The sequence below is a fragment of the Homo sapiens genome, chromosome 1 (assembly GCF_000001405.40).
Source record: "Homo sapiens chromosome 1, GRCh38.p14 Primary Assembly".
Classification (NCBI taxonomy): Eukaryota; Metazoa; Chordata; class Mammalia; order Primates; family Hominidae; genus Homo; species Homo sapiens.
Window position 1 is genome coordinate 42,182,521 of NC_000001.11, and position 26,221 is coordinate 42,208,741.

Sequence of the window (26,221 nt, forward strand, 5' to 3'; positions counted from 1 at the left end):
AGGGTCTCACTCTGTCACCCAGGCTAGAATGCAGTGGCGCAATCTCGGCTCACTGCAACTTCTGCCTCCTGGGTTCGGGCGATTCTCCTGCCTCACCCTCCCAAGTAGCTGGGATTACAGGCGTGCACTACCACGCCTGGCTAATTTTTGTATTTTTAGTAGAGATGGGGTTTTACCATGTTGGCCAGGCTGATCTCAAACTCCTGACCTCAAGTGATCCACCTGTCTCAGCCTCCCAAAGTGCTGGGATTATAGGCATGAGCCACCGCACCCAGCCACTCATGGACTCTTTCTACATCACCACCTATTTCTCTACTTCCCTGATGTTCTCACCCTCGAAGCAGGCCTAACTATGTGTAACCATGTGTGCCCCTGTTAATTAACAAGTACCTGGGAAGCACAAAGTAACAATAAAGATCTGCACATGGTAAAAGAGCTACAACAAGCAATGATGATTAAAAACATTATTCTGGGCAAGGCATGGTGGCTCAGGTCTATAATCCCAGCACTTTGGGAGGCAGAGGCGGGCAGATCACCTGAGGTCACGAGTTCAAGATCAGACTGGCCAACACGGCAAAACCCTGTCTCTACTAAAAATACAAAGAATTAGCTGGGTGTGGTGGCATGAGCCTGTAGTCCCAGCTACTCAGACTTGAACCTGGGAGACGGAGGTTGCAGTGAACCGAGATTGTGCTACTACACTCCAGCCTGGTTAATAGAGTGAGACCCTGTCAAAAGAGAAGAGAGAGGAGAGCGGAGAGGGTGGAGCGGAGGGGGCGGGGCGGGGTGGGGGAGGGGAGGGGAGGGGAGGGGAGGGGAGGGGAGGGGAGGGGAGGGGAGGGGAGTATTATCCTAGAATGTGAGGATGGGGACCATGGATCTCATTCAAATTTTACTTCAGAAGGTTCTTAATATATTTTCATTAACAGGAGACATCAAGTGTTATCGCCTCCAAAATGTCAACTACGTTACATCACAATGCAAAAGAGAGAACAAACATGACCCCTCCTCCAATAACTCATGAGGAATGATTATAAAAGCGGTTCACATTGTAAGGAACATCTGGAATTCTGGAAAGGCTACTTCCCTAAGTTTATCTACTATTTCATGTAAATTACACTTGAATTCTAGTAATGTTGTAATGAAACTAAAAAATAGTAATCATTTTCCCAGAGGAAACTAAAAAGAGTAGAAAAAATCTTCCACTTCTATTAAGGTAAGGCATTCTGTATTTGGCTGCTCACAAGTCTTTACCCTCCAGTGGAAAGCCAGACTATCCAGGCTTGAGATGGCCTCAGAGATAATCTAATCTGACCTTACCTCTGTCCATGCAGATAGGGAAACAGGGACAGAGGAAATGAGACAGAACCAGGACCAGAATTCAAGACTTCTGACCCCCTGTCCCTGCCTCCCATGATAACATGCCTTTTATCAGTGAAGTTTATAGTCAGAACTGACCTCTTTGACTGACTGACCATACTGATGATTTAGAAAGAAAAAAGAGGAGAAAAGTTATACTAAACTACAGCTCTAATACTGGTACGAGTGACGTGGGGCGGAATCCTGTCTCCAAATGCTGATCGGTCTTCACATGCACGCCTAGTGTACTTTGTAAAGACTGCACCAAGCTGGAAGGGCCACACCACTCAGAGTAATAGGGTCACTCATATACCCACAACTTCCCTGTCTCTGTCCTTCAAAATCTTAGCTCTCACTCTACACATCTTTCGAGTTCATGTCATAATGAAAATGTAAAACTGATTTTTATTGGGAATTAATCTTTTACCACTTCTCTTTTATGGCTTCGTAATTCTTACCTTAAAGGCAGAGGGGAGAAAGAATTACAGGATTATGACAATAAACAAACATCTACATAAAAGTCTTAACTTTCTGTAATTCCATCATATGCGTAACACTTTTATTTTCATATAGAAATTCCCATTAATTCTCATTTTTTCCCATATTCTCAATATAGAGTCTGAATGAGTGTATTCCTGAATTTCCTATGTAAGAAATTAACTTCCAATGCAGTTTCCAAAGATTTCAGGCACTGCTCGAGGCACTATGGATACAGCAATGAAAAAACACAACTCTGCTTTTCGGGTGTGTATTCTTGGGCATGTTGGGTAGGGGCAAACAAAGTAAATTAAATAGTATGTAACATGCTATGGAAAAAAAGCAGAGAGAGAGAACAAGGACTGCTGAGTAGTGGTGCCATTTAAATAGGATGACCAAGGAAGGCATCCCCTGAGCAGGTGTTTTTTGAGGAAAAACAACGGAACAAGATGAGGAAATGAGTCATGTGTCTAACTGAGGGAAGACCACTCTGGACAAGAGGAAATAGCAAGTACAAAGGCCCTGTTTAGGTAGAGTGTGCTACCTAGTGTGTTCAAAGAACACCAGGGAGACCAGCAGTGTTGAAGCACAGGCGTGGAGGGGAGAAGGCAGAAGACAAGATCAGAAATAATCAGTGATCAGATTGTGTAGGCCATATAGGCCATAGTAACAACATTGGTCTTTACTGAGAAAGATGGAGGGTTTTGAGCAGAAAACAGACGTGACATGATCTGACCTCTCTGTCTTGCAAAATCCTACTTAACCTACAAAGTCCAGCTTAAATATGCTGTCTTCTAGAAAAATTTTCCATCTTTCCAAGAGAAGTATGCACCCCTTTCTCTGAATTCTTATTGCACTTAAACCCTATGGAGAAGTGTAGCCCTCAACATACTGAATTTTTTTTTTTTTTTTTTTTTTTGAGATGGAGTCTCGCTCTGTCGCCCAGGCTGGAGTGTGGTGGCGCGATCTTGGCTCACTGCAAGCTCTGCCTCCCTGGTTCATGCCATTCTCCTGCCTCAGCCTCCTGAGTAGCCGGGACTACAGGCGCCTGCCACCACGCCTGGCTAATTTTTTTGTATTTTTTTAGTAGAGACGGGGTTTCACCATGTTAACCAAGGTGGTCTCGATCTCCTGACCTCATGATCCGCCTGCCTCGGTCTCCCAAAGTGAACATACTGTATTTCTTGATGGATCTGTCTCAACCACTAGGTTGTGAACTCTTTTAGGTAAAAGCTACTACAGGGGTCATGTCTTTATTCTCAGTGCCCAATACAAAGCTAGACACAGAAAAGGTGTCTAGTGTGTGCTCAATGACTGCATTCCTACCTATATTTAATGATGACCTTTAAGCAACGCATCAAATTAGAATAGTAGAGCCAGAAGATATAAACAAATTATAACCACAGGTAAAAAGATTTAGGAAAAGATGTCATAGACTGTGTTCTATAACAACCTTCTCCCCTTCCCCCTTCCACACTAGCACACTACACCACTAATTTCTGGAGTCTACAGGAAGCTCATGGAGGTGTTTACCAAGCGGGTCCTTGAAGACAGGAATGACAGGAAAGGTTTAAGGAAATGGAGAGACTATATTCTGGGACTCAAGACCTACACCTAAATGAATTTTACAACATTGGGTAAGTCACTTTCTCCCCCTGGATTACAATGTCCTTATCTGTTAAATAAAGGGATAAAATTAACAGCTCTCTGAAAGTCTCCTCTTGACTATACTTCTAAGAAATTATGACAAAGAATTACTGGGGTGCAGAGATGAGGGAAGTAAAAGATCTGAATGGATGTGATACACAGGGATGTAAGACAGAGAAAAAAGGAATGACAGAAAGACACTGACACTTAAAACAAGAGGAAGCAGGCTGGACACGTAAAAAAAATCTGAATATTTGTGAACAGACATCAGCAGGCATGAAGTGATGAATACTTGGAGCACCATAATTGATGAGAGAACAACTGTTGTCAGAGGCCAAAACAGCTTGGCAGGCATGAGTCAGAAGGAAAATACAAAAGGGGAGTGAGAGTAGAAAGAATTGAATAAACACTGAAGAAAAACTATAGTTTTTCTACCTTTGATAGGCTGTGACTAGGGTAGCACTGAGAATCACGAAGGTGTCATCGGGACCCTAGAAAGGAGGAGGGCCCTAACAAAAGAGATGACAGAAAAAATTAACAGAATCACAGAACACCAGAACAAATAACCAAGGTCAAGGCTCAAGAATAGATGACTACAGAAGTTGAGGAACAAAGGGCTTCAGGAAAATAACTCAGGATCTCAGTCTAGAGAGAATCTAGAAGGAGTGCCTGGGTACTCTGACAGAGGACAGCAGCAGATAAAGTGTTTTTTCCATGACAAAACTACCAAGTTCCAAGACCAAAAGGTACACATAGACCTTTCTTACAGACTTAGGGCACAAAACTGAAATTCACCAACATGAGAGCTGCTGCCTAACATGTACACTGGCTTTTGAGATTGCCTTCTTCTTCTTCTTCTTTTGAGACGAAGTCTCCCTCTGTCACCCAGGCTGGAGTGCACTGGTGTGATCTCGGCTCACTACAACCTCCGCCTCCCAGGTTCCAGCGATTCCCCTGCCTCAACCTCCCGGGTGGCTGGGATTACAGGCATGTGCCACCAGGTCCGGCTAATTTTTGTATTTTTAGTAGAGACGGGGTTTCGCCATGTTGGCCAGGCTGGTCTCGAACTCTTGACTTCAGGTGATCAGCCCGCCTCGGCCTCCCAAAGTGCTGGGATTGCAGGCATGAGCCACCATGCCTGGCCGAGACTGCCTTCTTCTAACACTGACCCACATCATCTTCTACTTCTCCTGCCTACGGCAACAATCTATGAGCAACACAGGTACTTACCCCCAAACACACAAGACTAGTGATATATACATAAGCTATTTAATTTCACTTAGTACTTTTTGAGGCTGACTGAAATGGTTAGAGATGGAGTTAGCAAAGAAGTGAACAGCATGACAGCACTCAGAAGCAACAATTTTGGATGAACACAGAAAGAAAAGAGGAAAGGAGAAAAAAGGGACAAAAAACAGAGAGAGGTGGTACACCTGGTCTAAGGAGGACTTAAAGCAAGTTGGAAAAATTAAAGTGATATATCCTGAAAGGGACAAAGTATGGGCTTAGAACCCATGAGAGAAACAAAGAAGACACGCTGTCCATCTGCAAGAAAAGATTTTAAAAAAAGAAATGGAAGAAGGGCACATAAGTGAGGATACCTGAATTACAGAGATCTTGATGCTTAAAAATGAATATATATCAGAAAGATACCAAAAAGAACTAACAAAAGGAGAGAGAGAGAGAGACAAAGAAGCTATAAAGTTATCAAAAACTAAATTTTAGTGTCTGGCACAGAGGGCAATCAGCCAGGGACTGAACAAGGCCCTTGTGTGGATGTAATTTACTGAATGAATAGGTCACCAGAATCAAATAGTGACTGAAGGTTTCAGGCAAGGTAAGCTATTCAAAATAGCTTAGGAAAAGCTATTCAACGTGGAAGAAGAAAAGATAATAGATTTCCACTACATCAAAGGATACAGGAATAAAGATTTCATGAAAAGAAAGACACAGACTGATAAGCTTGACTTGAATAAACTCAAACCATGGGTGAACGAAAGATGTGAAGTAAGATAGAATAATGGTTAAAGGAAGCCACTCAGGATAGAGAAGAGAGAGCTTGTTGGCATAAAATGTAAAATCAATATAACATACAGAAAAGAAGTAAACTTGATGATAAGAGAAGGTAAGGAATTAAAATGAAGAAAGAAGTAACTTGGATATGAAATTCCTACAGAAAAATGTGCAATCAGAGTAGAAGACATGGCTGCAAGGGTAAAGAATGAAGGAAGAAAGCGAGATTTAAAAAATATACAGGAAAGATTTTGGGTCTAAAGTAAAACATCAGTGAGACTATTTTCCATTACGTCTACTCTTCAAACACTTCGAATTGTTCAATTTTAACATTCTTAGGAGATACACAAGACACGTTGATTTCCATTGCAGATCTGTACAAATTTAAATATAATTTCATAATTATGTTCCTATAAAAACGTAAGTATCTCCAATATATTTCTTGTTTGATAACTTAGTAAAAGGATAATGGTTACAACAGTTAACTGTAAATAATAAAGCAATCATATAAATCACAACAGAAAAACATAGTCTCATTACCTCAATTTTTCTAAGATATACCCTACATATAAATTATTTGCTTTCATTCATTTCTTATAAATAAAAATTTGTAAACAGATCACTGTCACCATTAGCAGCAAACCAAGTTGGTTAAGACAGTTACTAAATTTCGTACGAATGAGAAAATGAGAAAAATCAAGAAGATAACTAACCCCATACCTGTTCCAATGTGTTGGGAAGGTTTTGTTGGATGCATGGCACCATGACAAACATTTTGTTGAACATTACTCTGTGAATGTATAAGGCCAGTTTGTGTAAAGAACTGATTAAGAGAAGAACAAAGATCGGCAAACTGAACCTGGTCTAAAGACCAGTTCTTGAGATCTGCCTGTCTCATACTCTCCATCAGACCTATGAGGAAAGCATTAAAAATATGTTAGCACTGTTATGCAATAAACATTGCAAGGAAAATAGCAAGACATAATTTTTTTCAGCTCTCAAAATTTCCACTCACTCCACTTTATGGTAGTGATTTATCCACGCAATGAAGAATGACCTTTTTAAATTATTCAAAGCCCAATTATTTTAAATGTGGTCAAATTTCTTTCAGAACTTGTCTGTGACCCTCTGCTATACCAAGTGGCCAAAATTATTATGAATTTTACCAACTGCAAAAGAAATGCTATATAAGATGATGTTTATTTCTACTACAAAGAAAGTTATAATCTAGCAGAGAAACAGGATCATGTGTATTTGGTTATATGTCAAAAAGAACCAACACTCACCTTGAAACTGTGAAAGGTCTACATCTGACCAATTAACACTGCTGGCAATTCGACAGCTTTCTTTTAGCATATCAAGTGTCGCATACCAATCATTTGAAACACCTATAAAATATTGACAACAGTGTAATTCCTGGATGGTGAAAGGGTGAAGTGTGGTAAGGGAAAACGATGAGCTGCCCTTATTCCTGAAATTGGCTGATTCTTGTCCCGTCTTACAAGGGGATTTGTACCCATTATATCACGTGTTGGGCAATCTGCTCTGTGAGACAGGCAGAAAGGTATTATTTCTCTCCATTTTACAAATAAAAGAAACTGAACCAGAGAAGTGACATAACTTAGCAAGGTTATCATGATGAATCTAAGACTTGAACCCAGGTCTTCTAACCTCCAGTCTAGCAGTTTCCAAATTGCCACATCACCTAGTAATATCAAACTTGATACTGCTCTTTACATTACAGTACCAATAAATGAACAGATAGGAAATGCCACACAAATCTGTATTTTCCCCTATATAAAGTTCATTTTCCTGTCTTCTTATGACCTTAAAAAACTCAAGAGAGGCAGGTTCACATTTAGAGGCAACACATAGTACAATTTAATGCAATGACTTAACGCAGGTGGATTAGATCATATAGTAAGAGTAAATGCTTCTTCCAAGGCAACCTTAGGAGAAAAAAATTTAACATAGTCCCCCTGCCAAGGTAGCGAAGGAAGAAGGGTGAGATCTCTGCAAGAAATGCTGATGAATCCACGTCAGGGCATTTTTAGTCAGAAATGGTATCCTCTGGTATGACATCAGAAGAGTTTAAGACTCCATAATCTGTATGTCAGCAAACCAGTCATTAGTCAGAGGCCATGCAGCAAGAGTTACCTTCAATGAGACAGCAGTGCTGAATAGTGGAAGAAAATTCTTCATTTCAGTGACTGCTGTCAAGCCACTGTTTCTAGGACCTCCCCCGGATGGATGAAGATAAAGACCAATAAAAAGGGCTGGTTGGTTTGCTTTTGCTACATCAAGGCAACTCTTGGCTATATCAACTACTGGCTACTTGATTACAAAATTCTGCCAATAATGGATTTTTAAAATAAACAATCAACTAGAGACAACATGACCCTGCCATGAAGCAAGTCGTAACTTAGGAAGAAATTTGTTAGGTGGGAGGGGATTAAACTAATATCCAAATGAGCCACGAACATGCAAGTCTACCAGACTCAGATCCTTTAGTTCAAGAAGAACTTCATGGATAAGGAAACCAAGGTTCAAAGGAATTATATGATTTAAGTCACTTAGGTAATACAACAGCCAAAGCAGTACTAGAATCCAGATCTCTTGAGGTAAACACAACTCAGGTAGTCAAAAGGTCAGGGTAGGAAAAAGGTTAACTGAAATGAAATTATGAGCAGGAACCAGGACATTTGCCATGACTAATTTGTTGTTGTTGTTGTGGGTAAGAGGAAGAGGAGGCTCCTTTAATAAATAGTGACCTGGCAAATAAAAATAAAGCAAACTCTGCAGCGACTGGGTGAGCAAACCCTACCCACTTAGCAAATGTCTGCTAATTTTAGTTCTTTTAGAATAACTGGTGTTATAAGCTTTGAAGTCAGACATGTCAGAATATAAACCCCAGTTCTACCACTTACCACAGTATGATCTTAAGCAAATTACTTAAAATTCTTTTAGTTGCACTTTTCCTATATATAAAATGTGGTCATCTATACTTGATTTGGCAGGATAATGTAAGATAATGTATCTAAATTATAAACAAGAGTTAAAATAAAAACCTGCAAGGGTTGCTGGGTTTGCCTATGTTGCCACAATAAATTTTAATCAAGAAAGTCGCCAGGTCAGTCTATGAATTAAATGAGTTACAACTATAGGATTATAGCAAGGAAACAGATGTAAAGAGGTTTTGGTAGTAAATACTACATGAGCTCTAAATAACAAAGGACAGATCCTAATTCACAGTTAGCCAAACACAAACCAGGAGACAAAAACTTACCAGAATTACAGGATACCTGTTGTGGGGGTGGGGGTGCCTGATGTGTTAACGTCTGATGCTGATGGTTCGGATGGTGCTGTATGTGTTGATGTGGAGAGGGATGCTGGGGGTGAGGGGACTGGAGCTGGCTGTGTTGCTGTGGGTGTGGTGCTGGGTGTGGGGAACGCTGCGGATGCTGCGGTAAACCATGCGGTCGATGGGGAGGATGTGGAGATGGCTGTGTGTGCATCTGGGGGTGAGACAGTGAGACCTGTGCAACCGAATTACTGCCTGTGGTGTTGAGGCCACTGCCATGACTGTTGGACAGGCTGCTTTGGTTGCTGTGTGGGTGAGTGCTCACTGTACTGCTGGGAGAGTGCTGATAGGTACATGAAGTGTGGGACTGCTGGGAAGATTCAGAAGGGATGTTCATCAAACCTAAAAACAAAGCAAGATCATTTATGGTCAGATTTCAGTTGTATTTTATGACAAACATTTGTAAAATTATTAACATAACAAAAGCATATGATGCCAGGAAGCAACACTGGTTCAATTTAATAAGTGTTAATCCAACATCCACTGCACACTAGGCTCTGTGGTTATTGAGAAGAAATATAATGCCCCACCCTCAAGTGGAAGAGAAAGACAAGATTATGACCAACAATTTAAGTACTAAAGCTAAAGTATACAGAGGATTATGAAAACTGCTCCTTGTCTGTTCAGCTAGGAGAAGGCTGAAAATATAGAGAAGCCTTTCTTTTAAAGACAGTGCCTGAACTGAGTCTTGAAAGATAAGGAAATGTTCGGGGAAAAGTGGGAAAGGTGTGGGGGTCACACTCAGGATGGCTCTCTGTAGGCATAAAGACCAAGGCTTTGATAGAAGACCGCACAATCTAAACTAAATCTCGACTGGCTAATAGTTTAAAACTTTTCCAAATAGGTAAAAGTAATGGAAAGACAAAGGAAAAGAGGAAGTTGTTTATGCCAAATAGGGAAGGGGCATAGGCTGCAAGCTGGAACATGCCTGTGAGCACGTCCAGCACAAATATCTCAGTTAAGGTACAAGGACATAGAATGTACTACGTGCCTGTGAGCATGTTTAACAGCTACACAGGATAGGGCCCAACAAAAAGTTATTAGCATAAAGTAAGGAGGCTTAAAGGAAGTTAGTTTTTAAAAGAAACTATTATTTCTAACACTTATGATTTACTCTTTAACAAGAAGGGAAACTATGAAGAGGAACTTTTTACTTTCTACATAGTGAAGGTGTAAGCTGCAGGATGAGCTCTGTAAATGTTAGCTGCCATGATGATGATTAAGCCAAAAATGTTTAATGTTAAGGATAATTTATGTTTGTTCTCCAAGTAGTTAGATAACCTTACTGCAACATTTGGTTCTATGTAACTAGACTATTTTCAAATCCTAAAGGGTAGCCCATGCAATGTTATGCTGAACCAAACATAAAAATAATTTTATTGAATGAAAAAAAAAAACACAAGATAATATCAATCAATAAAAGAATCAAGCTTTTTAAAAAAGATAAAATTATTCTATTTGTCATTAGTAGTAAAACTGTATTTGTGTTCATTGCAAGATAATCTTAAAAGCTACCAAGTTTTACAGGCAGAAGAGTTAATAAAAGTTCTTGCCTTGGTCCTAGAAAATAGTCACATATAAGGAATCTATAGGGTTATTACTGTAAGATCAAAGAAAGCAGTAATTTATCAATTTTCAATAAAATCCTAGCATTTTACAAGGGAACCAAGGTCTGATCTGTATCAACATTTTCAATCTCAAATTATTTTTAAATAAAAGAAAGCAAAATATCTCTCCAGAAGCCCAATATATAAAACTGATAAGTATAATATAGTTTTTTTTTTTGAAGCTGGGGAAGGAAGCTTACTAGGTCTACCTCTGCATCTGCACAGTTCTCCTCCTGCAGTCCCTAAGATCTTTACAAAAGCCAAGGCCTCTGAAGAGAACAATCTGAAAATCACTGATCTAATCCAACCCTCTTTATTGTACAAATGGGGATACTGAGGTCCAGAGATGAGAAGTAAACTCAGTTGACTTAATGGCAGAACCTGGACTAGAACCCAGACTTCCTATCGATGTTCCTTTTTTTTTTTTTTTTAATAGTGTGATGGAATGGAATTATGGGCTTCAGAAATTGTCATCATTGTTATTTCAAAGCCCTTATTTTTCTATTGTGAATACCAAGGTTGGATTTGCTTAGCAAAGTCTTCCATTAGTTCTTTTTATACTTTTATAGATGAAAAATTTAAAAGTTGGAAAACATATGAATCTTACTTTAAACTCAAATACTAACCAGAAAAAGCCATTTCACACACACAACATCAGTATACATCAATATAAATAACAGTATATAACATTAACTGACAGTAAGTATTAAAATGCAAACAGTATAAAGACAAGGATTTCTGTTCATTTTTGTTCACTGCTGTGAACATGGAAACTTTCTGAGTTGGGGTGCCACAGTTTGAATGTATGTGTCCCTCCAAAATTCGTATGTTGGAACTTCAACCCCCAGGTGATGGTATTAAGAAGTGGGACCTTTAGGAGGTAATTAGGGATTAGGCCTTGCAAAAGGGGTTGAGAGAACTAGCTACTTTTTGCCCTTCCATGTCGTCTGCCACATGAGGACACAGCGTTCAGCTCCATGTGAGAATACCGCTAAAAGGCATCATTTATGATGTACAAGCCCTCGCCAGACACCATATCTGCTGGTTCCTTGATCTTGAACTTCCCAACCTCCCAAACTGTGAGAAATAAATTTCTGTTGTTTATAAATTACCCATTCTAAGGTATTTTGACACAGCAGCAGGAAAGGAATAAAACATGGGGTGTAAATAGTTAATGTGCCAAACAAACAAGTAATTAGGAAATGCTTCAACAGTAGAGTTCCCAACAATTTCTGACAATTCATCTCTGGGGAAAAGATACTGTGACATTTTTACCCTCTGATTAAAATTAAACCAGCAGCTAATGGGAAGAGAACACATTATAGCAAGAATCTACCATTTGGTCAAGATGCAACAGTGTATCTCAACTAAAGTCACTTTTAATATTAAAATCTGACTTAAGTATATCGTGTACAACAATGACCTAGCGTTTACTAGTAGCTGATGTATTCACTTCTAAGTGCCACACTCAAAATCACAAATTTGGCGCTACCACATTCCGATAGTTATCTCTTTTTGCTAATACCAGTCAGAACAAAAGCAAGGCACATCTATTCTTGTGGTGCAACATTCACCACTCAAACACTTCATATGCCAGATATCACTAATTAATTATAGTAGTGTTTCCCATATGGTATAGATGCAGTGTCAGAATTCTTTAACACAGTGTTCCTGGATGCCACTAGTAAACAAGTAAGTAGGCATGCAACATAAAATTTATCTGCCATTTTTGTGCTATGATATAAATAGAACACAGTAAAGGCACAAAGGGCAAAATACAATTACCTGATTCTTATTGTGATGATAATATTCTAAGATTAAGAGTATAACAGCTGCCATGTGAAATAATTTAAAAACCTTTTTCCAATAAAACTTTGTTATAAAAAAGATTTTAAGAAAACTCACCTTGTTGACTAAGTGACTGCTCAAAAACTGACTTATAAAGGCTCCGAAATGAGGCACTAAGATCTTCAAAATTATATTCTGAGAAAAGTAGTTGCTTGTCTCTTTCTGGAAGGTTGTACTGTGGTTGCTGCTGAGGAGTTAATGATTGAGAGACTGATTCTGGATGGCTTGTCACCTAACATTAAAAGAAAACACAACTAATTCAGCCTCTCTACTAATTACAATTGGCTTGTTATATAAAATATATAACTGAAAACAGTGTCAACATTGGAATTCAAAGAAAATAACTCTTCTGTCTTAGGCTTTCCCATCCTCTGTTAAAGCATAATGGACAGAAAGCAAAACAGCTAAACTGAATCTTGAAGAACTGTAGAAGTCTAACCCAACCTCCATACTTCACAGAAGGAAAGAATTCAAAGAAGTTAGATAACTTGCCTCAGATCATACAAATAAGTGATGAGTTAGGCCTAGAATCCTTCTAGCCTTTCTGTAGAATCTTCAATCTTGATTTCTACATAAGGTATTTTATCTCAAACTCCACTAAGCCATAAAACTACTAACATTTCTTTCATTTATTCAATTAACTTTTTAGTATACAAACCCAAATACTGTGATTACTATGAGTCAGATGTATGGCTCTGCCCAAAGCAACAAGGAGCTTAAATATGCCTAACTCTTCATTTCCAGGGAAAACTTATCTTTAAAAGCAGGAAAACTAGAAATAAAATCAATAAAAGATAATCATCTGTATTTCTTAAAGACTACGTACTACATGAAAGGGTGGTAAACTACCATTTGTTTAGTGTTTTGAAAAATTAAGGTATGAACATTGACTAGAAACTTACGCAGCCATTAAAAATAATGCTCATAAGGAGTCTGCAATAACGTGGAAAAATATGAATTTTTACATAGGAAAATGGCTCCGCCACTGGCACCCTAGTGTCCTTACACATCTCCACACAAACCATATAGGCAAGGCTCCATGGCAGGATGACCTAAACCTTGGTGGAACACCCTGTGATTATCCTGGAACAAGTGGTTTTGAGGCGAAAATTCTCATCTGCCCTTATGTCTTGTAGGAGATGGCCATGGGGCAGTTACTCATCTACCTTTCTATTTTGCCAGAGGTTGCCAAGAAACAGTTTCTCATCTACCTCCCTGGCTGAGTGAGGCATGGGACTTTCTGCCTTACTCCCTTAGGGTACAGCTGCAGGTTATAAAACTGCTTAGTTGCACTATGGAATTTGTTCCTCTATTACAGAGTGAGCTACTACTCGAGTAGTCTGTCATTTGGTCCTCTGTTTTGGTACTGTCACGTGGGATGTAGGGAGCTGACACCATGCTAACCTGGTTTATACTGTCTGTATAAGTAATAAAATTATCTCAATCCATGTGGGCTCATTGTGGCCTTACAGGATCAAACTATATAGATGTGATAAACCCAACCAGCAGCTGCCATTGCACTGTTGCTTAGGGACCGCTCGACCATTTGACACCTTGTTGTTGAAAGAAAGTAGCAGGGCCGGGTGCAGTGGCTCAACGCCTATAATCCCAGCACTTTAAGAGGCCGAGGCGGGCGGATCACCTGAAGTCAGAAGTTCGAGACCAGCCTGGCCAACATGGTGAAACCCTGCCTCAATTAAAAATACAAAAATTAGCTATGTGTGGTGGCTCACGCCTGCAATCCCAGCAACTTGAGAGGCTGAGGCAAGAGAATCGCTTGAATCTGGGAGGCAGAGGTTGCCATAAGCTGAGAACACACCATTGCACTTCAGTCTGGGCGACAGAGAGAGACTCCATCTCAAAAACAACAAAAAAAGCAGTCTACAAAGTCTAGCTTTAAACACGGCAGTTTAACCCTCTTACATTTATTGGCACAACGAACATGTTAGCTGTGTCTGTCATCTAGTTCTATACATGCTTCTTTAATTTGTCCTTTTATAATGTTTTGTGATACTGGACTGTGTGCTTTGCTTTCTTTTGGTCAAGATTTTTTACACTTAAATTACTTCAAAAAGCAACTTAAAATCATTATATCTTTGCTTAGTTTGCTTCAATGTTCCAACTGGTTGTTTTATAACTCCACTTTGTCATTATTATTTAATTTAATTAATCTTGATCACGGGTAAGTAATTTTTTTCAGGAAAGACACATGAAAACAAGGGCAGGATACTTTCTAATCTCTGCATATCAAGGAACGTCTTTCTCTTGCCTTCACATATGAATTAAAATTTGGGCATAATATTTGTTATTCCAAACCCATTCCCTCAAAACTCTGCATACAATGCTCCATTATCTTCTGGCATTTAGTAGCATCAAAGAGAAGCCTGAGGCCAGGCATGGTGGCTCATGCCTGTAATCCTAGCACTTTGGGAAGTCAACAGGGCAGGAGAATTGCTTAAGCCAGGAGTTCGAGACCAGTTTGGCCCACTTAGCAAGATCTTGTGTCTAAAAAAAGAGAGAAAAAAAGGGGGGGAGGTCTGATTTGTGTTTCTTTATATATAATTTACTCATTCTGTTAGAGTATTTTTATGGGTAACTACTTATGAAATTTTAAAATTTGCCATAATGTATCTAGATACAGCAGTCCTTTGGTATCCACGAGGGACTGGTTACAGGAACCCCAACCCACTAGGACACCAAAATCTGCACATGCTCAAGTCCCTTATACAAAATGCTGTAATATTTGCATATAACCTATCCTCCCATACACTTTAAATCACCTCTAGATGATTAATACCTAATACAATGTAAACAGTTGTTAAACTATATTTTTTTCTTTAAAAAAAAAAAAGAAAGAAAGAAAGAAATAACAGTCTCGCTCTATCGCCCAGGCTGGAGTGGAGTGACGTGATTACTCCTGGGTTCAAGTGATCCTCCCTTCTCAGCCTCCTAAGGTGCATGCCACAATGCCTGGCTGTTTCATTTTTTTAAGACAGGGTCTCACTATGTTGGCCAGGCTGATATCAAACTCCTGGCCTCAAGCAATCCTCTTGCCTCAGCCTCCCAAAGTACTGGGATTACAGGTATGAGCCACCTCATTCCAGCATGTATTTTTTATTGCTGTACCTTTTTTTTTTAATTGTTTTTTGTTGTTCAAATATTTTCAATCCAATGTTTGGTTAAGTCTGTGGATGTGGAACCTACAGATACGGAGGGCTGACTGCATAGATTTTTTCCCCATTAATTTCTTCTAGAACTCAGTAACCCTTTAAATCTCTATTTCTTCTGAAAACTGCTTCTATAACAACTTTTTCTTCTGCAGGGACAACTATAATTCTCAGTTCTCCACATTTATTGTCTTCTTTTACATAATTTTTATTCCATTTTCTTTCTTCTCCATTGTGGGATAATACTTTATTTTTTTTTACAGAGCAATAATAATTTTGCAGAGGCAACTTTTTCCCTACATTCAATGTGAATTTTAATTCTGCTACGTTTTTCTTTCCCGTGTGTTATTTTCTTTCGGGTCCCTCCCTTTATATCTTTGTCCCGTGTAAGTTTTTTCCTATTTACTCATCCTGGAACAACAGGGAGTGACCTGGTAAGATCAAATTTACACTGACAAACAATGTGGTGTGTAGCTCTTGGGCTCTATTATCTGCTCACTGAGGAAGACCAGTTGCCAGGTAGTTTGAAAAGAAATAACAGATAACCTAAGACTCATGTTCTTGTAATAGGTAACAAATTAGCATAGGAGCAAGAATACATACACACAGGTCCCTTTATAGCATGGCTTTTCCCCCCGTGGATCCAAACTGAAAATACATGAGTAGTTAACAATTGAGTGTACCAGGCCACCCTAACCTCTGGGGTTTACAGAATTCCCTTCTCAGATCTACAGCTGGAAACCATGTTGACACACACATCTTCTAAGCTCTAAGAAGTACAGAATATCACCAACTATTGCTCTACTAAACTAAAGTGCAATTTTTTTCCTGTTCCAATTGCTTTTCTCTTGGACACAGGACAGAATAAAGTAGACCAAAATCTGTTAACACTGCACAACCATTTTTTAAAAATCTAATATGGTACCAAATTAAAACACTAACAAGCTACAATCTCCTCTAATTTTGATCTACTTACTAAGTTAATAAATTTATTAGTGAGAAAAACATACCTTCATTTTTAAATTTGCATTTCAATTATGTTTGGTTTAGTTTTAAGTACTAAATGAATAACTATTAACATGTTAACTTCATCAAGACTTACCGGTGTATAACTATGCACACTTCCAACACTGTTCAAATTAACAGATGCCAAACTCTGGTCTGAGAGACTGTTGTTAAGGCTACTGCGTGGGCTATCACTACCATCCTGATCAGTGTTATACAATGTTACCTAAAATGAAAAAAGAAAAATGACAATTGAATATAAGGGTACTTCTTAAGCAACTCTGCAAAAATACAATTGAGCAGGCATATGGCAAGAAGAAAAAAATCTCAGTGGCCTTTCCCTAGGTGCTCACCCCAATTCCATGCCCCATATGGCTAAGTTCGTGTTCATCATAAAATAATTTTCTCAATACTCAAACTAAAGGACATGTCTTTCAGAGGTATAGAAATTTAATTTATAGCATAATTTACCAGGTATAATTAGCCCATAAACATTTAACAAGAGAGGAATATAACAGATTTTTACTTTATTAAATATTTCTATAATGCATAAATTTTTGCTCAGGCTTTAAGCAAAATTACTGTCTATCAGAATTTTAGAAATCAAAACGAAGCACATAAAAAAAAAAAGATTTTTTTTTTAAAATCACAGGCATCACAGTATTTTTAATACTGAAGATTGGAAACAACTGTTCAACACATTTATAAAATCATAATTATATGATCTAACTTTTAAAAAATAATATGCTAATATATGCATTAGATGTGAAAAACTGTCAAACTGTTGTTAATGGTTATCTAGAAGGGGCTGAGGATTCCTGAAGACTTTTACATTTGTGTATATTTTTACAGTGCTTGAGTTTGTCTATAAGTATTATAATTTTTAATTAGAAGCAAACAAACAAAAAAAGGTATTTTTGGAATAGAAAACTAGCCTATTTGCAGTGAGCCAAGATCACGCCACTGCACTCCAGCCTGGTGACAGAGCGAGACTCTGTCTCAAAAAAAAAAAAAAAAAAAAAAAGGCAAATATAAAGGAAGAAAAAAATAATACATATTATCACGAATAGGAGTTTTGACCTCATGGACTCTCTACAAAGGTCTCAGTTACCCAGGCATCCAGAAACCACACTTTGAGAACCACTGATACACTGTATGACCAGCACTCTAGAAGCTCATGTACTCTCCCATTCATCATGCACGTAAGTCATTATCCATCCATATCTCCTGTCCCAGGTAACCACTTCTATCACTACTGATTGGTTTTCCTATTTTTGAACTAAGTATAAATGGAATCACATAGTGTATATCCTTGTTACAAGGCCTTGTTTTCTATTGCATTAATATCTACTCTTTATATTTCCTTCTTTCCTTTTTAAAATTCATTTTTTTGTGCAACAGAGCTTTATTGTTTTATCATTTATGTATTTGGAAGTATAAATCCTCCATGTTTTATCCTTTTCTTCAATATTTTCTCTTTTTTTCTCTTTTTGAGACGGAGTCTCGCTTTGTCGCCTAGGCTGGAGTGCAATGGTGCGATCTCGGCTCACTGCAACCTCTGTCTCCTGGGTTCAAGCGATTCTCCTGCCTCAGCCTCCAAAGTAGTTGGGATTACAGATGCGCGCCACCATACCTGGCTAATTGTTGTTATTTTTAGTAGAGACGGGGTTTCACTATGTTGGTCATGCTGGTCTCGAACTCCTGACCTCGTGATCCACCCCACCTCAGCCTCCCAAAGGAGGCTTTGGGATTACAGGCATGAACCACCGCACCTGGCCTTCAATATTTCCTTTAGCTACCGTTGGTCATTTAGATTCTCATTTTTGTTTTACTATCAGCTTATTTTCTACCCACCTCCTCTCTCCCACAAAGAACATCTGGACTGGAATCACATTAAATTTGTATATCAACTTTGGAAAAACTGTCTTCTTTACAGTAGTCTTCTGCATGAACATTATATAATCTATGTCATTTTCTTTCAGTAATTTTTATAGTGTTCTGTGTAGAGTTCATCTTTCATTTAAGCCAAGGTATTTGATGTTTCTGAATGCTAACATAAGTGTTATCTTTTAAATTTTATTTTCAAGGCAGAAATAAAATTGATTTCTGAAGAGAATTCACTAAATTCACTTATTAATTCTAAGGCTTTATCCGTAGATTCTTTTCAATTTTCTGTGATCATCTGTGGCAACTTTATTTCTGTCCTTCCAAACTTTATGCTTTTTATTTCTTGTTTGTAACTTCTAACTGGCAAGGACCTCCAACACGATGTCAAATAAAAGTGCTGATGGCAAACATCTTTCTCTTCTTCCATACCTCAAAGAGAAAGTTTTCAGTATTTCACCATTTAATATAGCATTTGCTATATGCTTCTTTGTAGATATTCTTTACCACACTGAAAAAATTTCCACCTATTTACAGCTAAGAGTTTTATTAAGTCATGACCTCTGAGTATGCCTTTGTAATATTCCGTATAAAATGTGGAGTATACATGTAGCACTTCCAACTATGAACAGAAGAACAACAGCAGATTTCCTAGTGCTAGACCTAGCTTGCGTTTCTAGAATACAACTGTGTTTGTGATGTTATCTTTTTTATGTATTGCTGGGTTAAATTAGACAACATTTTGTTTAAGATTTTAATACCTATGCTCATGAGACTGGCTGAAAATTTCCTTTCTTGTAAAGTTTTTGTCAGGTTTTGCTACTTAGGTTATGATGGTTTCATAATATAAATTGGGACATGTTACCTCTTTTTTAAAATTCTCCTGAAGTGTTTATATACAATCAATATTATTTTTTCACTAAATATTTATAAGAATTCCTTGAAGCTTGCTGGGCCTGAAGTCTTCTATAAAGAAATATTTTTTAATTATGGGTTTAATATATACAAAAGTATTAACATTTTCTATTTATTCTTGCGCCAGTTTTGATAAGTCATTTTTTATGATTTTGTCTATTTCATCTAAAATTTCAACTTTATTTACATAAGATGTTCATATCTATCCTTCATCTTTTTAATTCTGTAGAATCCATATAGCTCCTTTTTTCATTCCAGATATCAGCAAATTGTATTTCTCTTTCATTAACTTTAATAGCACCTTTCTGTTTTTTCATTTTTGAAAGCTTTTTATTGCTGTATTTCCAAATTTACTAATCTTTCCTTCTGTTTAGTCTGTTATTAATCCCATCTAGTGTACTTTTCAATTCAGACACTGCAGTTTTTATCTCTAGGAGTTTGCTTTGGGTTTATATTCCATGTGTCTACACAGATTGTTTAATGTGTCTTTTAGCTTCTCCATAAAATATAGATAAAACTGCTTTAATGTCCTTTTCTAAGCTAATTCTATCATTTCTATCATTTCTGGGTCAGTTGTGACTTTTTCCTCACTATGGGTTGTTTACTGTAAAAAAAAAAAGTAAAGAACATTAGTGAGCTTTGGGGACAGTTTCAAGCAAACTAATAAACGTATAAGTTGCTGGTGGCAATCCGGATCTATGCAAAGGAATAAAGAATAGCAGAAATGGTTAACTATGTGGGTAAATGTAAAGCCATTTTTTTTCTGATTTAAATCTCTTGAAATGATAATTGATTGTTTAAAGCAAAAATAACAAATACGTATTGTAGGTTTCTATCACAAGGAGAAAAAAATGGGAGTGTACAGTAATAAAGTTCTTATACATGATATAGTACAGTATCTTCATATTTTTAGTATGAGATGGGTTTTTGCCATGTTGGCCAGGCTGGTCTTGAATACCTGGCCTCAAGTGATCCACCCACCTCAGCCTCCCAAAGTGCTGGTATTAAAGGGGTGAGCCACCACACCCAGTCCAAATATTGTATTTCTTTAAATGAGGTTGTTTGTTGTTTTGATTTGGTCTGCATATTCTATGAGTTACAGAAAGGCATGCTTAAATCTATTACCACGATCTTCTTTATTCCTTTTTCCTCTCCTCCTGCACACTAAAAACAACCTTGTGTGACCTTTTCCCCATGTCCCATTTACCTCTTAAGTTTTTCTGAATTTTCCACCCTTTTTTCTTTCTGTGCTTCCATCTGCACGTTTTCTACAGACCTATCTTCCAGTTCATTAAATTTCTCTGCTGATGTGTCTGATCTGCTATTAAATCCATCTACTGGGTTTATTCAAGTTTCCTCTTGATTCTTCCATATAAATTCCAATTCTCTGGTAAATTTTCTATAACTCATCTATTTTCTTGACCATATCAGTTATAGTTATTTTGCAATCAATATTCAATCACTTGTTTACATTGTCTTCCCCCAACTGCATGTTTAGTTATTCGAACTCTCTCTCCTAGCATGCCTGGAAATTTTGACTGAATGCTGCACCCTATACTTATGGAAAATTACAGAAGCTCTGGATGATGTTATCTTCCTCCAAAGAGAATTCCATTTTCTTTCGGCAGATAGAATATTAGCATACCACTCTAGTAACTGTTGAGGCTGATCTATTTTGGTTTGCTCTTACTCTCAGAACAAAATTTTTCTCAGATATCAAGTTGAAAGCCTAGGGTGTATTACCATGGCTCTCTCCTCCTTTGAAGACCATAAACTACAATATTTGTCCCTCCTATTCTGTGAGAGTGTTGAATTTTGGCTAGTGAAAAACTTTGTGTCTGAGCCCTAGCACACACAATTAGGAGTTAGCAAATGCCTTAAGTGGATACTACTTACAAAAAGTTGAACTCAGCCAGGTGTGGTGGCTCACACCTGTAATCCCAGCACTTTGGGAGGCCAAGGCGGACAGATCACCTGAGGTCAGGAGTTTGAGACCAGCCTGGCCAACATGGTGGAACCCCATCTCTACTAAAAACACAAAAATTAGCCAGGCGCAGTGGTGGGCACCTGTAATCCCAGCTACTTGGGAGGCTGAGGCAGGAGAATTGCTTGAACCCAGGAGGTGGAGGTTGCAGTGAGCTAAGATCACCGCACTGCACTCCAGTCTGGGCGACACAGTGAGATCCTGTCTCAAAAAAAAAAAAAAAAAGTTGGATTCACCCCTGATATTCCTCAGGATCTCGGCTCTGCAACCCCTGGCTCTTTGGTAACCCCAAACTCCAATTTTGTCTCCCTGGTTGAATGACTGCTCTAGGCTACTGCTCTCTGTGTAGCCCCTATGCCATGCACTGAGAATCGGGAAATGCACCAAAGGAAAATATACAAAGCTTATCTCAATGTGTTTAACTATTCTCTGGGCTCCTGACCCCTGAAGCCCTGGTTGTCTTAGTTTCCAATACCTCCCTCTTCTTTTTTTTCAATCAAGGAGGTGGGTGGGGAGGGGTGTGTGGCTATGTATGTCTGGTATTTTACACAGATAGGCAGAAAGGTTAATCTAATACCAGTATTCTGTCATATCTGGATGCAGAAAACCAAAATCTTCAGCTCCTTTGACATCCACATTATTTGGTCATAAAGTCCCATCATTACTACTTCCTAATTGTTTCCTAGTAACCACACTATCATCTATGTTTAGGTCTTCATCACCACTTAGACTACAGCACAGAGCAGTATTAGGTATTTCTGATTCTAACCCAACCACTTCACCAGAAATTCTCACCTAGCTGGTCACCATTAGAGATCATTTTTTAAAGGACGTATTTCTGGGCCCTATTCATGACACAGTAACTGATTTGGCAGAATTGCAATGGAATCCTGGGATTACCACCACTACCACCACCCCCCACCCCCCAACTGCCCCATAAACCCTCTCTCTAAGTGACTGTGATGTAATTATTCCAGAGACTGCCATGTGGGAAGAATCATTCCTCTATGCCTAGGCTACCAGTTTCCTTTCTGAACTAGAAATCTGAATATGTCACTCTGATTATAATCTGTCATCTGTTTAATCATTATCTTTCTACAAGTAAAAGGATCCTAGGAGTACCATATTAGTGCAATGATGTATGTGTATGTGTTCATATTTATGTGTGTGCATGAAGTGGAAGAATGAAAATGAGAGAGAGGGAGAGAAAAAAAGAGGGTGAAAGCTAGAGGGAGAAAATGAAAACAAGACTGAAAGAGAATCTAAGCATAAGTGTGAGAGATATATGGCTCTGGAGTACTCATGGTCTAGTAGGGAAGAAAACAGATGAACAAAACTGGATTCATGAACCTCCCAGAGTCTTTTTAGGGTTTTGAGATGTAAGATTAAGAAACTGTCTTATAAAGAAGAGACAGATATATACCTGTATCCCACTAGGTATATAATGACCCATCACAAAGTTGTGACTCAACCATCAAAATGTAGCAAACAACCATGTACTATTTCTGGCTATATTCCTAGACTTGAATATCATGAAAATAGGTAGACCACCATCCCAGTGAACTCTATGAGGCTGTCCAATTATTTATTTTACTAGATTCTGTTAACTCCCCAGAATTTGACAATCTTTTTTTCAACCACATATCTGGAGAGGTAATTAACAATTCTGAAACAAATTGACTCAATAAAATGCTGGCTCACAAATTCTATCAATGGGAACTGTGAGAGCCAAGAATTTTTAAACAAGTATAGAACTTCTCGGTAAGGACCTTCCAATCTCTCCTGAGAGATATTTTGTTCTAATTTGTGCATACCTCAAAACATTCTGAATTTAGCCTTCAAGCTACCATGCATAGGGTAGACAAATTTATATAATCTTTAAACTGAACCATATAGGATTCTATCATTATTACAAAGGCAAATTAAATGTACTACTCAATGACATTTCAATAATGTTTAAAAAAATGAAATTACTTTGTTAGTCACAGTGTTGATTGCCAGAGTTGGAGAGGCACTTCCCGAAATAATACACTCCATTCCCAAAGAATCTGAATCTATGCTATATGGAGTTGAGGCCTAAAATACAAGAACAAAATAAATAATTATTAGCTCATATATCCAGCAACTTTAACACAGTTTGAAGGGATCTCATCAAATTCTTGAACATCCAGTTTTGTGCTTTGTTTCTGAAAATGAATTTAAATCACTAGTGAAATCTCTTCTACTAAATTTTAGTATGCTACTGACTTGATATTACAAAGTCCTTTGGTATGGCTACTCTCTAACAACTCTTAATTTACTGCAGGATAGGCTGACAAAAATTACAAATAAACTTCTGTAGTGAAAATTGCTAATGATCCCCTAATATCCATTCTCCCCTCATCCCTTTCAGTAATAGATATTTACAGTATCTACTCATGTCTGCCCAGCCACAGACTACCTTTCTAGATTCCTGAGAAGCTGCCTGTGGCCATGTGACTACGGTGTGACCAACAGGATGTGAGCAGGAGTGATGTGTGCCACTTCTGGGTCATGTCTTTGAAAGAAACCTGCTTGCCCACCATTCATTCTTTCTCTCTTATTGCAGATTTAAGACAGATATGGTGGTGGTGATCTTGCTTAACCATAAATAGCTGAGGGTAATACCCTGGGAAAATACCGGAAAAACAGGATTAGAAGGAACCTCGACATCTGAATGACCCTGTGAAACAGAGCTGTTTATATCTCTGACCCACCCATGAGTTTGGGCTTCTACCTGACAGAGAAATAAATCTCTCTGGTTTAAGCCAGTTATAGATTTTTAAAACTTTTGCTATTTATTTTTATTGATACATATTAGATGTACATATTTTGAGTATACATGTGATAATTTAATACATTCATATAATCAAATGAAAAATGAGATATCCTCAAATTTTATCTTTTGTTTATACTAGGAATATTCAAATTATTCTCTTCTAAGCTATTTCAAAATATACAATCAATTAATGTTAACTACAGCCACCCTACTGATTTATCAGACATCAGGTCTTATTTCTTCTTCTTCTTCTTCTTGTTTTTTGGGATGGAGTCTCGCTCTGTTGCCCAGGCTGTAGTGCAGTGGTGCAATCTCGGCTCACTGCAACCTTCACCTCCCATGCTCAAGCGATTCTCTTGCCTCAGCCTCCCAAGTAGCTGGGATTACAGGTGTGTGTCACCACACCTGGCTAATTTTTGTACTTTTAGTAGAGACAGGGTTCACCATGTTGGCCAGGCTGGTCTTGAACTCCTGACCTAAAGTGACCCACCTGCCTCAGCCTCCAAAAGTGCTACTACAGGTGTTGAGTCATCATGCCCAGCCAGTTCTTATTTCTTCTAAGTGTATATTTACATCCATTAATCAACCTGTCTTCATATCCCTTCCCCCTACCCTTCCTGGCCTCTGATAATCACCAATCTACTTTCTATCTTCATGTAATCCACTTTTTTAGCTACCACATATGAGTGAGAATACGCAATATTTGTCTTTCTGTGAGTGTACATCAGTTATAGTTTTATTTTTCTTCCTTTGCTAGAGCAACTGAACGATCCCCTAAATATACCTCATATGTACTGTTTAGAGTTAACATGGGTGTTAAAAACAATACAGAAAGTTTTCTGCTATTAGAATTCTGAATATATACATTGTGATAACTCCTCTCTCTAAGAAACGGTTTTTATTGCTTTATTGAGCCTTCAAAAGTTCAACTTCAATGGTAAATGTTAAAGAGGGGCAAACAGAAGTAATTTATGATTATGATGCTAGCTACATATATATTCCCTCTCTGGCAAAAACTATTTGTCCCACACATGATCCTAATTGTACATGCATTTCTAAAAGATCATACCAGATGAGCGAGAGAGCAATTTCACCAAGACACATTTTTGAAATTAATCTATCCTTTAATCCCTCAGCATTTTTCTCATTCCAGATAATCTAATCAACCTTCGGGCAGAGAATAGGGATCTTGATTGAAAAAGACCAGAGCTACCCCTACAAGCTAGAATCCAGCACTTAGGTCCCAGGTACACATTGAGAGCAAGGTGAAATAGAAGAGCTATAAAAATAACTCTTATTTATGCCTCAGTTTTGGTGCCAGCCAACCAAGCTATAATTAAGTTAACACAGAAGATTACTTTAGAAAGGTACAAATCTCATATTCCCTTAATTCAACTCAGTCATCTCAGTCTGAACTATTGGTTCACTAATTCTCATTCTTCCCTTCTGGTAGGAAAAGGGAAACTTTTGTTATCTGATTTCATGTAAATTACTCGAACTTTATGCTTGTTTTCTCATCTATAAAAAGATGATTATGCTACTTCCTTTAGAGATCTGTTAAGAACATCAACACAGTATTTCATGTAAAGCGCTTAGCATGGTAACTGAAACACACAGTAAGTGCTGGCCACTATGATGACCACTAGAATATATCTGCTACTGATGTCAAGGATCTGCTGATACAAAGAAATACTCATCCCTCAACAAAATACTAGCAAATCATATTCAACAGTTCAGTAAAAGGATCATTCACCATGATCAAGTGGGATTTATCCCTGGGATGTAAGGCTGATTCAATATACATGCATTAATAAATGTGATTCACCATATTAAGAGAATCAAAGACTAAAAGAATGAAGGATCATCCCAAAGATACTTTAAAAAGCATTTGACAAAATTCAATATCCTTTCATGACAAAAACGCTCAACAAAAAAGGTATAGAAGGAACATTCCTCAACACAATAAAGGTCACATATAATAAGTCCATAGCTAACACCATACTCAATGGTGAAAAGTTAAAGGCTTTTCCTCTTAAGACCAGGAACAAGACAATGATACCCACTGTCACCATTTCTATTCAACATAGTACTGGATGGCCTAGCCAAAGCAATTAGGCAAGAGAAGGAACTAGAGATGCTCTTCGACTTATGATGGGG

General features: G+C 38.0%; 1 protein-coding gene across 16 annotated transcripts in view; it reads right to left on the reverse strand.

Moving 5' to 3' along the window:
* Positions 1–26,221, reverse strand: part of FOXJ3 (forkhead box J3) — a 159,333-nt gene that overhangs the window by 5,973 nt on the left and 127,139 nt on the right. For 11 of the 16 annotated variants that reach the window (NM_001198850.2, XM_024454163.2, NM_014947.5 and 8 more), the window contains 6 exons: positions 23,242–23,343; positions 16,582–16,710; positions 12,370–12,544; positions 8,783–9,199; positions 6,783–6,884; positions 6,217–6,408 (listed from right to left, as the gene is read on the reverse strand). In NM_001198850.2, the coding sequence (NP_001185779.1) occupies positions 6,217–6,408; positions 6,783–6,884; positions 8,783–9,199; positions 12,370–12,544; positions 16,582–16,710; positions 23,242–23,343 (1,117 nt within the window). The remainder of the gene's footprint in view (positions 1–6,216; positions 6,409–6,782; positions 6,885–8,782; positions 9,200–12,369; positions 12,545–16,581; positions 16,711–23,241; positions 23,344–26,221) is intronic. The other 5 variants (XM_047449488.1, NM_001198852.2, XM_047449489.1 and 2 more) reach the window with 1 other exon arrangement.